The sequence below is a fragment of the Homo sapiens genome, chromosome 14 (genome assembly GCF_000001405.40).
Source record: "Homo sapiens chromosome 14, GRCh38.p14 Primary Assembly".
NCBI lineage: Eukaryota > Metazoa > Chordata > Mammalia > Primates > Hominidae > Homo > Homo sapiens.
Genome location: NC_000014.9, coordinates 49,031,174 through 49,048,572, shown reverse-complemented (window position 1 = coordinate 49,048,572; position 17,399 = coordinate 49,031,174). Strand labels below are relative to the sequence as shown.

Sequence of the window (17,399 nt, the reverse complement as noted above, 5' to 3'; positions counted from 1 at the left end):
CTCTACATTCGCCGCCTAACTTTCTCACCTCCCATTCATTCCATAACCAGCTACAATCTGGCTCTTGTTCCTCGTTTCTGCAACCCACCTTCACTGGTCTTCACATCAATATTTCAGGACATTCCTTTGTCAAAGTTTCCAGTGATTCCAAATAAACTTCATAAAGTTTCAACACTTATTTTACTTGTTACCTCTATGGTATCGTAGGTCCCTGACACTTGGGTGGAAATATATCTCAAGAATATTTATGCATTCTAGATTCTTGAATATCACCATAACGGATAATGTCATCATAACTTGCAAGAGATTGCAGCTTAAGAATTTCCTGATTCATACTCTTAACGAGAGTTAATGTGTCCTTGACAATAAGTAGAAGAAGGTGAAGCCACTTAAAGAAGTGGATGCTCCCTGCTAAGTGGCATGCTCTCCACACCAGCTGTGGGCTCAAGTTTGCACCCTCACTCAGATTTTAAATTGCTCCTTGTCACTGGAGTTGAGGTTTCTCGAATAACTGAAACTAAAAGTTAAAGCTATATAACTATATAAAGTAGCCTCTGGCTACTCACACCACCTTCAGAACCTTGTCTTTGGATTCCTCAATCTGTTTCTCTCAAGCCTTCAAGATGAGTTCCTTTCCTTGTACTCACCCTTTAAGTATTGGTGTTATGTAAAGCACTGATCTCTGATGATTTCTCTCTCTTTTTTTTTGAATAAATTCTGTTGTGCTGATGGGTTTGACCACTCCATGTTTTCTGTATATTTAGCCTCTAGTACTGTATGATGCAAAGCATAAATGTGTGTACCTACCAGCGTGACTTCTGTGTTATACTGACATCGTTCTCTCATGTTCTGATAGTGAATGAATTTGCGCTTATTATTCTCTATTTGGCTCCCCCACTCCCCAGGTCTATTTTCTGCTTGTCTTGTCTCTGCTGTGTGCATTGGAAGGCTGACCTCTGTGGTCTGCACCACCTGTGGTCCTTAATGTTCAGCCAGTCAGAGGAACTGGTTGGATATCAGAGAACAAGAAAAAAGAGAGGCCAGGGCATGTATTCCCCTTCCTCTCTCCCTGCCTTGTAGCAATTCTGGGGGTCACCATTCTTTTGTGGTCATAACTTTTGCTAAGTGGCACCTTTTCCTTTCTCCAGTTTTCACTGTCAACAAGAATGTGGTATGTTCTCTCTTGCTATTGCTAGCCCCCTGTTGCTTCACCATTCTCTTGGTGGTTTCCTTAACCATGCCCAATGCCACTGTAAATAGTGCCTTCATTACAAATTTCTTCAGTTAAGCCCTTCTGAATGTGCCATCTGTTTCTTCCAGGGTGCCCGAGTGATACAAAGCTGATTCACCTTACAGAAACAGGCATCAAATAATCTCCCACCCTTCCTCAGCTACCTTAATTATTTTTCACATTACCTTTTGCAATCTTTACGGAGTTTAAGGCCATGTGCAAGGGAAGATCTCTGAGACCAGAGCTCCATATAACCTTAGGAATTAAGGGCTGAGCAAAAAAAGAGGCATCAATGAATAAGGATTCAAGGAAACAAAGAAACAGATTACTAATTCTTCTCCTTGATATATTTTCCTTAGTACCACCAACATGAACTTTCTAAAATTCAAGTCAGATCTGATTAGTTTCCTTAAAACCTTCAATGGCTCTCTGGTGTCCATAGAATAACATTTGTATTCCTTAGTATGGTACAGAATCCTTTCATGTTTTGGCTTTTACTTATGTTTCTCTGTCATCATCTTTTGCTGATCATTGTACAAGTTCCAGTGCCCCCCTTGGCTGAACTATGCCACATTTTTAGCTCAGTATTAATAAACTTTTTAAAAAAAGTCTCTTAACTCCAGTATATAGTAGCTTATCTAAAGCTACCTGTGAGAGAGACCTTGCTTCAAACTTTCTTGAAAAATCTACTCCATTAAAATTTCAGTTTTGCACATTCAGAAGCATTTGATACAGAGTGGGGAGCTGACATACAAATTAGCCCAGGATCTGGAAGGCACACATCAGTGAAAATGATAGAAATTTCCAAATAACTTGTTCACCCTAGCTTTTTCTCAGATCTTTTTACTGTGTCTTTATTTCTTTTAGAAATAGATTCTTCCTTTACAGTGTATATTCCAATAATGCTATAATAAATATGGAGACATTTTCCATGACTATGAGGGTTTCCATGATGGAACCACCATCTAGTGGCTTTGGAAGAAAATAGGAACAATTAAGAATTCAGAGACAGTCCACCATCAAATTATAAATTTGGCAGTTTTAATTTTGGAATTAAAACAGCCAGATTGTGTTCATTTAAAATGTTTTATATTGGCATAACAGATGTTTTCCCCTAAGAATGTTCTTAGCAATTAAAATATATAGATACATAAAGTATGTGTGTGTATATATATATTTTAATTCAGTGTTATGTGGTATTGTGGTTTTTATGTCACCAGCCAGAGGAAATTTTAAAATGGTCGTATTAGTAGACATCTTAACAAACTCTTCTTGTACAAACCCTGATTCAAGGAAAAAAATACCCTGAGATATCAAAGCAGATGGTTGTCTTAATCTAAAAAAATCTCAACAAGGAAGACTCTACAGCTTCATTTACCAACTCATATTAGGGCCCACAAAGAAAAATTGCAATTTCTAAAGAAAAAAACATTTTACTTACAAAATTTTTGATGCTTTGTTTTGTGGGAGATCAAGGGAAATGGTTAGTATTTTGATAAGTAAATTTATTTTATTTTATTTTACTTGGATATTTTTGAAATTGACCTAGGTAGTTGTATTAGCCAGGATTCTCCAGGAAAACATAAACCATTTATGTAATTCCAACTATGGAGGCTTTATTCCAGGGAATTGCAGGCTTAACAGGAGATCAGAAAGACTGGAGAGGCAAAGATCCAGGAAGCCAACAATGATGTGGTTTCAAAACTAGTGGTTCTCCAGGTGGAAGCTTCTGCAAATCTGAAGGAACCCTATGAAGTGCCTGCTACCATCTCAGCCTTGGGTGCTGAAGCAACCATTCTCAAGGAACTGCTTCCCACAATCGCAGCTGCCTTCCACCAGCCAGGAAGCTGCCATGAATCTTGCCTGTGCTTTCTGCTATGTGTCTGCCTCCAGGGAAGAATGACTTCTCCCCATTTCCCAGCTTCCAGCTTTTACAACAACGGCTCCACACTGGCAACTGTAACCCGGAACCATATGAGAAAGTGGACTCTTGGAATGCTCTTCCTGCCTTCCCCTCTCCCAATGCAGAGGAAGCTGTAGAGGTAGGTACAGTAAGGGGAAATGCACAATGCATACTTTCAGTGATAAAAGTGATATCTTTAGTAGACAATTTCAAATGATATTGGAAAATCCTTAAAATATTTGTATTAATTTTTGTTGGCAAGAAGCCAAAATGTATAATGGAAAGAGAAGGGTCTTTGGGATGGATGGATCTGAGTTTAAATCCTGGATTCACTCCATTTTAGCTTGGTGATCTGAAGTAAACCATTTAGACTCTTGTTTTTTCGTATATAAAAATGTGGATAATGATATTCATTTTGAAGTCTTGCTTTGAAAAATAAACACAATAATCTATGTATAACACTTATTTGGTGTCACAGGGCCTGGCATGTAACATGCAGTTGGTGAATGTTAACTCTAATAAATTGAAGCTGGGGACTGAGGTTAAGAGCCATAGCAAATTGTTTCTATGCCTTGACCAAATTACAATGTTGTTGTTACATTTGTAATGGCTTGACTTTCCTCTTGTAGCACATTGCTTACAACTTTCAGTATCAATAAGCTTTTCTTTCTTAGTGTGTTTCTTTTACAATTTTCTCTTACTGAAATAGCAGTACAAGGACAGCAGCTTGATTTAGAAACTCTGCCAGTAATTGGCTATGTCTCCCTGAACAATTAAGTTACTTTCTCAAATCCTCAATCTTCTTATGTGTAAAATGATGACCTGGAAGTGTGGGAACAGGAAGAAAGAATGACTTAGATTGATTGATTTTTAAAAATTCATTTGCACAGCATTTCCTTGCCTGCTTAAGTCTCTGTATTAGGCACTATGGGGGTGATTAAAACAATGGGTACAAAAATGTGGCTCCTGCCATTCAGGGCAATATAATCCAGTAAAATAAAAAATATCAATGAGAGACTCATAAAATATAGAAGAATCAGAACTTCTGGCCTAAAATTATTCTGTTTTATTGTGGTGATAAATCTAGTCAGCATGTCTGAAGCTCCTTGGAGAGGGAAGTAAACAATACTTGTTTTAGAAATACTCCAGTGGTTCACAAGGTAGTGTTTCTCATTGAAAAGAAAAGACATGCTGCAAAACAGAAATGATGGGTTGGGTTCTATAGTCATCCTCCTGTTAACAATTTGGAACACACTTTCTGAACACCTGCACTGGAATAGACCCTGTGCTTGGATGTGGGTATCAGGATAAACTATTTTACCTGCCCTCAAGGATTTTCCATGTTAGCTGTTTGAATGTAACTTTTGCCTGATTGGTATATACTAGTTACCAAAATTAATGTGAGTAGGGTTGGAAACCTGTCAGTCCCTGTCTTTGCCATTATATCAAAACTTAATTCATTTCAGTTTTCTCTGAAGTTTTGACTAAGATGGCTTGGTTCATCCTCTTACTGGTATTTGATTTAGGAATATGGGTGGTGTTGCCTTTTGTAACGTTCCACCAAATTAAATTCAACGGAGTGTAATTTTGTGTACTGCATACACAGTCATCATCAGTAGAATGTTAATTAAGAAAGCAATTTGGAAAGCAGGGTTGGTCTCAATTTAAATGTACTTTTAACTGTGAAAACTTATGACCTGCATATATAATTGACATTAAGTTGCACTAAGAAAAATAGGTAAGTTGTCTATTGTTCAAGTGGTGTTGAAATAAATTAGAAAAGTTGCTGCTAGATTGATGTTTCAGAATGTGTATTTAAAAGATTAAAAAATACCTCAAAGAATCAAACTGTCAGTTTACTACAGCAGTCATTCCAGCCTTTAGTATTTTTTCCCAACAGGGACATATTTCATATTCAGACAAGTCCTCCTTTCAAAGATTTGTAGCTAGGCAAACACTAATGGATGGACTATCACTCATGCACGGGGAGAACCAGTTTAAGGTTTAAGGTATACTAATCATTCTATTAATCATTAGTCTTTGACTTTTCATACTCCAAACTGTTTATCCTGGCTTTTCAAATTCTGTTGCAAAACAAGATTTTATTAATTATGCACTAACCTTTACTCATTACTGTTTTGTGCACGTGTTGTGGGTACCACTTCATTTTCAGAAGCACATGGCTATAGCTATTGCCGATGATCTGTAACGTTGTTTATAGCTCAGGCCATGCTTCATAATTAGGACAGTAGTTCTCAATTTGAGGGTCTAGTATTAAAATGGGTTTTCTTTACTACATTAAGCTTTCCTGCTAACAGATTGTCGTAGAATGTACCACCAACCATTCCACTTGCATTATCTCCAAATAAACCTAAAGTTGCTTTGAATTAAGATCTACAGAGATTTGTTACAAAGTAAAGGCAATTTTGGAACTAGAAAAGACAAATCCCACTGATATCTAAAATCTAAGATATTTTGTTCCGCTTGGTCATTTTACAGAAATGGAGAGTGTGAGAAACAGATGTTTAAGTGCAACGTGATTGTTTTACTTTTCTGCTTAAAATCCTTTACACGTTCTCCTTTCTTTTCTTTCTTTCTTTTCTTTTATTTTTTTTTCAGGCTAAATTCCCAACATCTTGGCTCAGCCTTTCATTATCTGGATTGGCTTGGCTTCTCCACCCTCATCTTTCACCACTCCTCCCCTTATCCACCACCGCCAAGCATCCTTAAAATCTGGCCTTAGTGAAATCCTTGCCTGTCCTTGATGATTTCCCTTTCCTGCACCTGGAATGTTCCCTTTTATCCCCCCTAACTTCTAGACACAGCTTAGGCAACAACTGCTTTGAGCAGCTTTCTCTGACCTTCAGAATTAAGAGAAATATAAAAAATTTTTAACCAGAGATACTTTTCCCACCAAATTACCCGAGAGTGTGATGTGATATACCACAGTTTATTCCAAACTGGGTAACAGACTCTGTCACAGTATGCCTAACATTGTGCTTATTGATGTCTATTGCAATTTCTATTTATTGGTTTGTGTTCCCCTCTGTTTGTCTTTAACATCTATATCTCCAGTGCCTAGCACAGTTCCTAGCACAGAGTAAGAGCTTAGAGCTAACATGTGCTGAATGTTACTGCATGCCAGGCTCCTTATTACGTCCTTTGCATGCATTAACTCATTTAATTCTCATTATGACCCTGTGAGCCAAGAGCTGTGATGATCTCTACTGAACAGATGACGAGTTAGAATAGCAGGAAGTTTGGTCCATTTTCCAAGATCATTTAGTAAATGACAGAATCAGGATCGGAATAGTAGGATCCCAAAGCCCATGTTTTTAACTGGGACATATCTCCTTTGTAGAGGACAGAGTCGCAGAAATATTTGTTAGATGAGTAACAGTATAAGTAATCAGTTCCATGTATTCAGTAGCAAAGTTAGCAAAAGCTCCTGAGTCTCTGAACTCTCAGGCCAGTGAGCCTCCTTTAACAGTGGTCTGCTTTGTACTTTGAGAGTCAGAGGCACAGTATAGAAAAAACCCCGGGCTGACATCTGCATTCTGGTTGTCTTTCCCTGAACAGGCTATTTGACTTTAACTAAGTACATTTCCATATCTGGGCCTCAGTTTCCACAGGTGTGAAATGAAGTGACTGGACTCAATGATCACCAAGGAAACTATCTACTTCAGTTTTATATTTCCTGGTTATAATGTCTTCAAAATGTAATTAAAATGAATATTTCAGGTGACGTTATCAAGTATTTCAAAATTAGTATCTATATTTTATAAATAATACTGCCATCCTAAATTATAGTTAGTTCATAAATAAGATAGGGAGTCTGCTCCACCAGTCCCTAGTGTCCTTGGAGAACCTACTTGGCCTCACCAATTCACAATGCCTTTCTCTCTGAAATGAGACTAATGATAGCATCTATTGCAGAAGATGACTGGGAGGATAACGCATATGTTATGGGCTGAATTGTGTCTCCCTAAATTTCATAGGTTGAATTTTTAACCCTCAGTACCTCAGAATGTGATCATATTTGGAGATAGGGTCTTTACAGAGGTAATCAAGTTAAGATGAGGTCATTAGGGTAGGCCTTAATCCAGTACAACTGGTGTCCTTATGTAAAAGAGAAACTGTTCACCGAGACATGGACAGAGGGAAGCTGATGTGAAGATACACAGGGAGAAGATGGCCAACTACAAGCCAAGAAGAGAGGCCTAGAAGAGGTCTTTCCCTCACAGCCCTCAGAAGGAACTAACCCTGTTGGTACCTTGATTTTGAACTTCTAACCTCCAGATCTGTGAAACAATAAATTTATATTATTTAAGCCACCAATATGTGGTACTTAGTTACAGCAGCCCTGTAAACTAACATAGTATGTAAAGTTTGCCTCTCAGAGGCAAGTGCCCCGTAAATATACACATCTTCATCATTTGACAACAATTCCGTGTTGCTCATGAAAATAGGTATTTAGATTTTTGATTTGTATTTTCATGCTTTGTTTTCTTATGTATCATAAACAATGACTGGATCTAGCCTAAAATTTTTAATGTGAAGTTTAGGGAGTGAAGGGGTATTACCTCTACTTTATGAATGGGAAAACAAAGCCAAAGGGAAATTTGGCTTTTCTTTCCCCTTAGGCTGCTTATGTAATTATTGTAACTAGGGTTTTATTCCTAGATGAGCCTCAGAATTCAATTCCATACATTCAATGCCAGGCATTGTCCTATGGACTTAGGCTAGAAGGTGAAATGATATAGACCTTGCTCTCAAACCTACTGCATCTTGCTGGGGAGAAAGACATATAGACTAATGTAGTACCAATGTTGGTTACTCATCCTGTGGTCATTCTCTTTTCTGCTTCAGTTTATAGGATCTCAGTTTTGTGATTGTGACAATTTTTCCAGGCCTAGGTGATGAATTATGATTGGTGTATCTATTGATGTCCTGTGTCTCTTTGCCAGAGATCGGTTATGAAACAAGCATATGACCAATTTTGGCTAAGAATACCTAAAAGAAAGTCTGTGTTGGTATTCTGAAGCTAATTTTTTACCTGATGAAAAATAAAGTCCTTTTGCTCCAACTCCTTACTTCTTGCTTAGGACCCCATCCTGTGAAGTGAGGATGCCTGGAGCCATAGAGGCCATTTTGCAGCTCTAAACAGGAGGAACATCACAGACATACTAAGGATGGTAGTGAAGCCTGGATCCATCATGGCTTAGTTTATCTACTGCACGTGGCCTAGAATGGCCTGAACTCTTAATATGTGAGATAATTAAATGGCTCTTTCATTTAAAAACTACTCGTAGGCATTCTGGTTTTTGTAGCTCAAAGCATCCTAATTACACGACCAATAAAAGTGTACAAAAAATTAGGCTGGGCGCGGTGGATCACGCCTGTAATCCCAGCACTTTGGGAGGCCGGGGCGGGTGGATCACGAGGTCAGGAGATCATCCTGGCTAACATGGTGAAACCCTGTCTCTACTAAAAATACAAAAAACTAGCTGGGCATGGTGGCGGGCGCCTGTAGTCCCAGCTATCCGCGAGGCTGAGACAGGAGAATCCCTTGAACCCGGGAGGCGGAGGTTGCAGCGAGCTGAGATCACGCCACTGCACTCCACGCCTGGGTGACGGAGCCAGACTCTGTCTCTAAGAAAAAAAAAAAAAAGTAGAATTAAAGAGAACTTAAACCTACGGGATTAATATCAAAAAGAGATGAGTAGTAAATCCTATTTTGGAAGAATCAAAGGCTTTTGGAGGAGCTATCACTGAACTTCGTTTTAAAGGATGAAAAGTAGTTTTCTAAGTGGACAAAGGGCAGAAAGTAATTCTAGACAGTGAAGACCGTATATGCAAGGGCAGAGATGAGTGAGGCCCTTGGATATCAGATAAACCACCAGGAAAGAAACTTTTGGTATGGAAGTGGAAAGTGAAGGGTGATAACTATAGAAGATGAGGCTAAATATGTGGTAGGGGTTGAATTCTCAATGTTTTATGTGGGATGCTTAAGAAACCAAACTGTATTCGGGGCAGATGATGAGCACTTAATTTTAAGCTGGAGAGAAATTGTGGTCACCGTGGTCACATTTGGGGTTTGAAAAGGCATTTCTTCCAAGAATAAATGCATAAAGGATTGAGTGTGTGTGTGTGTGTCTAAGCTAGGAAAAGTTATTCAGGTACAACACAATGAAAGCTTGAACTAAGGAACGGCAAAGAATTGCTCATCAGATCATTCATTCACTCAACAACTATTCATTGAACATCTTCTGTGTTAGTGTTCTCCAGGAAAATATAACCAATAAGTTGTATATAGTTATATAGATGGGTGGGGGGAACGTGGAGCGAGAGAGGGAGAGACAGAGAGAGGGAGGGGAGGAGAGACAGAGAGGGAGAGAAAGTATTTATTATAAGGAATTGACTGTCATGATTATGGAGGCTAAGAAGTCACAATATCTGCAGTCAGCAAGCTGGAGACCCAAGGGGCCTGATGGTACAACTCCAGGCTAAGTATGAAGGCCTGAGAAGCAGGAGAGCTGGGAATGTGAGTTCCAGTCCAAATCTGAGTCCAAAGTCGGGAAAAGACTGATGTCCCAGCTTAAAGACAGTTAGACAAAGAGAGTGGACTCCCCCTTACTCAGTCTTTTTATTTTATCCAGGCCTTCAACAGATGGATGAGACCCTCCCATGCTGGGAAGGGCACTATGCTTTCCTCAGTCTACTGGCTAGAATGTTCATCTCATCCAGAAACATCCTCACAGACACAGCCAGAATAATATTTGGCCTAATGTCTGGGCATCCTGTGGCCCAGTCAAGTTGACATATTAAATTAAGTATCACACTTTCTCTGTGCCACATACTTCTCTAGTCAATAGGAAATTATATCAGTGAATAAAAAAACAATACTCTCTGCCTTCCAGACCTTGTATTTTAGTGGAGGGAGATGAATAATAAACAAGATGAGAGTGAGGAATAGGGTTTCTTCTTGACTTTGGCAACTGGGTTATCTGGTGACACTGCCATGACTGAGCTAGATAGGAGGAAGACCGGAATCTGGAAGGAGCCCTCTAGCTACCCATTTCCTCTTTCTCCCTTTTCTCTCTTCAGTTGTCATATTTTTATGTGTTCTTCAGAGCCCCACTCCCTGCTAGGCTCTGTCATATCATGCAAGTTTGCCATCAGTGGGAGATGGGAGTACCTTTTGCCTCCAGTCTTTCCCTAGGGATCCAGTGGCAACTTTAGATTTAACAGTCTTTTAATTAAAGATAAAATTAGCATCTACTATGTTGCAGTTTGCAAAAAGAAGACATGGACTAAAAAGTGCCTGTGAGTTATAAGGAAGAGATTTCAGTATGTTGGAATGATTGGGGGCTGCATTTGATCTCTGCCTTGAAGAATGGATAGGATTTCAGAATGTGAATTGTGAGGAGGGAAGATTTTCTATGCCACTGGTTCATAACCTTGGTTGTATATTGAAATCTTCCTAGGGAGCTATAAAAACACTAATGTGTGTGCTGCACCTCTAGAGACTTGATTTACTTGGTCTGGGGTGACATCTGGGCAACAGGATTTTAATATCTTTCCTAACAGTTTTTAATGGGAAGCCAAAATTAGGAAGCATTGCTTGAGGGAGAGGGGATCAAATGAATAAAGATGCCAGGTAAAAATGAATGCAAGGAGTGTCTGGGGATGGTGATACCAGATTCCTAGTGTGTGTTTGTGTGTGTGTGTGTGTACACGTGTGTTTCATCTATGGAAAAGATAAGTATGGGTCAGACTGTAGTGTGCCCTGAGGGCTATGGTTAGAAAGTAGGGAAACCACTGAAGCGTTTTGAACAAGAAAGAACATAATCAAAGTATATTTTCAAAGAGATATAACTTATAATTAGGAAATCAATTGGTTTTAAATAGAGCTTTGGCAGAATTAAAAATATGGGCAAACAGAGCTCTACACCAGTGCTTCTCAGATTTTAATGTGCATAAGAATCACCTGGGGATTTGTTAAAATGCAGATTTTGATTCAGTAGCGCGGGGTGAGGCCTGAGACTTTGCAGTTTTAATAAACTTCCACGTGTCGCCTATGCTACGGATCCACAGGCCACTTTTTGAATAGCAAGGCACGACTGGTCTGAGAGTTTTCATGCCAGGAGCTAGAGCCGTGAGAAACATAAGCTAAAGCTAAAAATGGTACTGACAATTCTTTATGGTGATTTTCCATTTTTTTCATAAGCCCAGAACAAGGACTGTGTCTTATTTATCTTTCTATTCCTGTGTTGACTTGACAGGGCTTTGCATTCCTTGCAATTCATATTGTAATTCCACTGAAAACATAGATTCTGGCTCTCTCACGTCAGCCACAGTCCTTTCCCATTCTTTTTCTCTCTTTCTTCTGGAAAATAATCCATGCTGATTTAATAAGTGTTTTTAATTAGTGTTATTTCTGCTTACAATGTTTTCTGTTAATTTTAAATATCTTCAGTTAGGAGCTTCTACAGCAGCTGTAGAATTCTGGCAACTTTAGTATTTTTTTTTATACAGAGTATAACTTCATTATTTTTTACTGAATTTTACAGTCACTCATTTATAAAAGAGCTAATTGTGTCTGTGTGTTCTCCACACACACATATATAAATATATATTCTGTCTAAAACTGCATAGATTTTGGTTTTCAAAAAGAAAGATATACTATTTCTCGGTTTATTATGTCTAGGTGAGACACGTTTTCAACTATTTTGTACTAACCTCTATACTTCAGTATCTAGCAATCTATCCTTCATTATGTTAAATGCATTTTAAAAAAGTATCCAGTGCAAAATCCACAGATGACTCCCTGGCATACAAAATGGGTTCACCCTATAAAAATGCAAATTAACTGTATGAAAACGTAGGCCTTGAGCATTTGTATAGAAAATAAAAAAAGGCTTCTAACTGAGCCCAAAGGAACTCTACCGACAATGAGCTGATTAGCGGCCACGGTAATGACACTGGATACATTACAGTCTTTCTCTGAAGATTCTTCCTGAGTGTTTAACTAGAAATTCAAAAGTTTTTAATCAGAAAATCGTCTGCCAAAAAAGGAATTAAAGACCTGTTAGGCCTTTGCAGAGCAGAGTAGACCCATATCCTCTCAGTCTGAGATTATATGGGCATTGTCAATTTCCTGAATGAGGGCAGAAATTGTTCAGTAATTGGATCAAACTCTGAAATGGTCAATGGACAAAGAGAAGTAATTATTTGAGCCATGGTCAGCAAGAGCCTCTAAGCCTTTGGCAGTCTTTTATCAGGGCTATCTGGAAGTGTGTACATGCAGTTGTGTTAGAAAAGCTGGTTTATGATAGTCGCACATGGTGGCAATGATTGGCAGAAGGAAGCTCCGGCCATTTCTTGCCTTCTGCAGGAAAAAGTAGCCAAAGCTTTGTAGCAAGCTGATGTTGTGTGTGTATTCTTATTTTAAATTCTCATAAGTATGACATATGTGCTACTGTATTTAACTCCCATTCACAGTGTTTAGTGAGTGAAAAGCACCAGAATTATTTTGATGAAACTACCAATGGCCTTTCTTACTGTGCTTCCAAAAACATTGTATCATGTAGCAAATCACTCATTCTGATGTGTTTAATCCCTGTGGCTTTTATTTTGCTTCTACCCATGGTTAGTAAGAGTGAAGAGGAGGAAAGCCCATGCAAATTACCAGGGCTTAGTATCCTAGAAATGATCCCAGGCTTGAGGACCAATCTTCTGTGCATGATCTTAGCCAATTTGCTCTTGCTGGAGAGTGGGCATATTTTTTTCCTGCTAGGATTCTTGGCGGCCCTGCCTCTCTCTCTTCACTTTTCTCTTGTTTACTTTCCACAAGAACTCTGTCTTCATGATTTGCTACTTATGCTGTTTATTGTTTTCAAGCTTTGGACTCACTCATATTGTTTTAATTTTTTAAATTAATTAATTAATTTGTATAAGTGCAGTTTTGTTATATGGATATATTGAGTAGTGGTGAAGTCTGAGCTTTTAGTGTAACCATCACCCAAATAATATACATTGTATCCATAAAGTAATTTGTCATCCCTCAAGTCCCCCCACCCTTCTGAATCTCCAGTGTCTATCAATCCACACTCTATGTCCATGTCTATACATTTAGCTCCCGCTTATAAGTGAAAACATGTGATACTTGTCTTTCTGAGTTGTTTCACTTAACATAATGGTCTCTAGTTCCATATATGCTGCTGCAAAAGACATGATTTCATTCTTTTAATGTACACCACATTTCTTTATATATATGTAACATATATCATTGTATCATGTAGCAAATCACTCATTCTGATCTGTTGTATCATATATCATAATATGATATATATCATTATATATCATATATTATATATCATTATATATCATATATAATATGATATATAATTATTATGATATATAATTATATATCATAATATGATATATAATTATTATGATATATCATTATATAACATAATATGATATATAATGATATATATAATGATATATATGATATATATATCATTATATATATCATTATATATATAATATTATTGGACATTCCTCTATCTTCTTTTGGAAGTATTTGTTCAAATATTTTAACCATTTAAATTGGTTTGGTCTTTTTATTATTGATTCATAAAATGTTAAAAATATATTCTGGGAATTATTTTATTGTTGAATATTTCAAATATTTTCTGTAGCCTGTAGTTTGCTTATTTTATTATACATATTTATATATATATCACATTTTGTTTAATCATCTGTTGATGGACACTTAGGTTGATTCCAAATATTTGCTATTGGGAATGGTGCTGTGATAAACATATGAATATAAGAATCTTTTTAATATAACAATTTCTTTTCTTTTGAGTAGTTACCCAGTAGTGGGATTGCTGGATCAAATGGTAGTTCTATTTTTAGTTCTTTGAGAAATCTCCGTATTGTTTCCCATAGAGATTGTGCTAATTTACATTCACACCGACAGTGTGTAAGGTTTCCCTTTTCTCCCTATCCTCGCCAATATCTGTGATTTTTTTGAGTTTTTAGTAATAGCCACCTCACTGGTGTAAGATGGTATCTCATTGTGGTTTTCATTTGCATTTCTTTGACGATTAATGATGTTAAGCAGTTTTTCATATTGTTGGCCATTTGTATGTCTTCTTTTGAAAAATGTCTATCTATGTCCTTTGCCCATTTTTAGTGGGATTATTTTTCTTTTGTTGTTGTTGAGTTGTTTGAATTCCTAATTCTAGAGTATGTAAGGATAAAGCCAATTGACCCACATGAAATTTTGCTCTTTGTAGCAGAGTTTTCCTGTTTCTTTTTTCAATGCAATTCAGTTTGCTAATTAGACAAGTTCTATGTTAACATATGTTCTGAAGCCTGACCCCTGATGACAGTAAGAACTGGCAACTTTTCAGCTTTTTCTCCTTTAACTTCACCTTTTTCTCTTTCTCCTCAGTGGAGATATTTTATACCTCAAAGCAATGCACAGATTTAGTAGAGAGAGCCATGAGACTGGAGAAGGCCATTTCAAAGGCATTAGGGAAGATCCACAGGAAGATGACAGAGACTTGAAACAGAAGCCTCAGCAGACACTGCCTGGTCAGATGACTCAAGAACCTGATGGGCCGTCCTCAGTGTCCAGATACCCTACATACCTCTGGGAACTTCAATAAAGATCTGGAGGAGAATGTGAGACCCCAGTAGATTAGATATCTAATAGATTAGAAATCTAACAGATTACATTCATATCAACTTCATTAACAGGTTAATAAAAGTATGTCTTGCAAGGATGTTGTAGGACTTTTCCTTAGTTCAGCTAAAGATGTGGTCCTTGTCATACAACCGCCAAAATTAGGCTTGCAGACAATTTGAAGGGTGAGAAAAATGAGATATATTGGGAAAATGAGTAAAATGAGATGTATCCCTTTTTTTATCGCCCAGGAAGAAAAGGGAAACAGGCACTCCGCAAAGCCAGGGTCCTGCTAGTAGGCTTCCCGCTTTGCAGATTGAATCCCAGGGACCATACTTAGGAAGAGGAGAGAGAGGCCAGGCTCCTCCCCCTGCAAAGAGCGTGAATTTCCCAAGGCTCCACCCCAGTGCACATTCCTCCCAGTGCGCAGGACTTAGGAGGTTCTGCCGGGGAGCCCTTCCTACCTGGCTGTCTCAAGGAGGCCTACCGTCCTCTTTTTAAAGCAGCATGTATCGTAAGTCCTTTTTTAAACTTTTTTCCTTTCCCTCTTCCTTTTAATTCTCAATATTTTCCCTTGAATAGTATGATTAGAAGACTTAATGCTCTTTTTTTAAGTTGGGAGGGAGAAGAACTCTGTTAAGAAATAAAACTGGCAACAAGCAGTTCTGTTTTCTGTGAAATAGGATGGCCAAAGAAAAGCTTCCTGGTGGTTACTGAGACAGGGCAAATCTTGCATTGAGGAAGAGCTTAAAGCTGGAGATGGCTGGGCCATGTCACACACCGCTGTGAAAGCATCTGCATACAACCTGGAGACTTTTAGTCTGTAGAACATACAGAAAAACATCACCTCATTAGGTACAAGCTTAGTTTTGTAGCATAGATGCAGTCGGTGGCTGTTACTGAGCACGCAGAATAATAACGCTTTGCTCCAGGCTCAGTTAGGAAATTTAGGGTGTACTCCTAGGCTTATCTGAGATTCGTTGAAGGCTGACTGGGTGAAGGTTTCTTCTGAGGAATAGCCTCTCTTACTGCTGAGGTTTGTCCCTAGCACTGGAAGACCTGTCACCTGCTAAGGTTGCTGAGTCTTTCAGGAAATTCACTGCCATGTATCCAATTAGTGCATTTTACTCTTCAAGTAAAGATGGTAAATAAGGAGAATATTTGAAAATAGAAATCGAGGGAAAGAAAAGATAAAAATAGCACAAGACTGTGATTGTCTAATTTTTCAACTCTAGTGAATAAGTGTAGGCATATATTTTTCTGATAAACTCAGAAAAATGAGTTTGACAAACTCAGTTAAAGGCCAAAACTGTGATTAAATTTTTCTTTTTGAAAAATACAGTTGTTTAGCTTGAAGAGAGCCTAGAATACTTAAAAAGGCAGGCTCTAGCTGAGAGCAGATTAATGCAGACTGACTATTTCCAGCCATCAGGAGAGGCAGAGGAGTGGTCAAGAGAGAAGGATGGGCTGGGCGCGGTGGCTCACGCCTGTAATCCCAGCACTTTGGGAAGCGGAGGCAGGCAGATCATGAGGTCAGGAGATTGAGACCATCCTGGCTGACACGGTGAAACCCCTACTAAAGTAAGTGAAACCTTTACTAAAAATAGTAAGGTGAAACACCTTTAGTAAGGTGAAATCTCTACTAAAAATACAAAGAATTAGCCGGGCATGGTGGCGGGTGCCTGTATTCCCAGCTACTCGGGAGGCTGAGGCAGAAGAATGGCTTGAACCTGGGGATGGAGCTTTCAGTGAGATCCTGCACTTCAGCCTGGGCAACAGAGCGAAACTCTGTCTCAAAAAATAAATAAATAAATAAATAAATAAATAAATAAATAAATAAATAGAAGGACGAGCACCTGTGTGGAAAAGCCCTCTCTCTGTGGCGGGAGCTGACTATCAGAGAGATGACAGGCAAGGCCAGAGAACTGCAGAGGAATCCAGAAAGTTGTAATGAAAGTTTAGAGTCAGGAAGAACACTGAGAAAACAGACACCTGGAACAAAGAAATAAGGAGGAAAATAGAGGTGATGGCCAGAGAAGGCTTTGAAATTCCAAATGGCCAGTCTTACTGGTAAGGAGTTTACAGATGCAGCTGAGGTCTTGGCCCTCTGGATGTTAAGAATTGAGCAAAACCAGGGGTGTATGTAGGCTCTGACGAAGCAGACCGCAGCTCACCAGGAGGTACCATCTCTCTGATAAGAAACCTTCTCCTCTTTTGTTTTTTCTCTATTTTCTTTTTCTTTTAAAACATTTTTTATTGTATATATTTAAGGTATGCAACATGATGTTTTGATATACTTATGTTGATCTATGTATGCACAGGGAAGTGACTATTACAGTCGAGTAAATTATTAATAACATACCCATCATCTTTTGTAATTACCTTTCTTTTTGGTGGTAATTGTACCTAAAATCTATTCTCCTGGCAAATTACCCATGCATAATGTATTATTATTATATTGTTAACAATAATCCATCGTTATGTTGTACATTATATCTCTAGACTTATTCATTTCACATATTTACGACTTTGTACCTTTTGATTTACATCTTCCTATTCCCCTC

General features: G+C 38.2%; 1 long non-coding RNA gene across 1 annotated transcript in view; it reads left to right on the top strand.

Moving 5' to 3' along the window:
* Positions 1-17,399, top strand: part of LOC105378178 (uncharacterized) — an 894,025-nt gene that overhangs the window by 239,451 nt on the left and 637,175 nt on the right. The gene's annotated exons all lie outside the window — the stretch shown is intronic.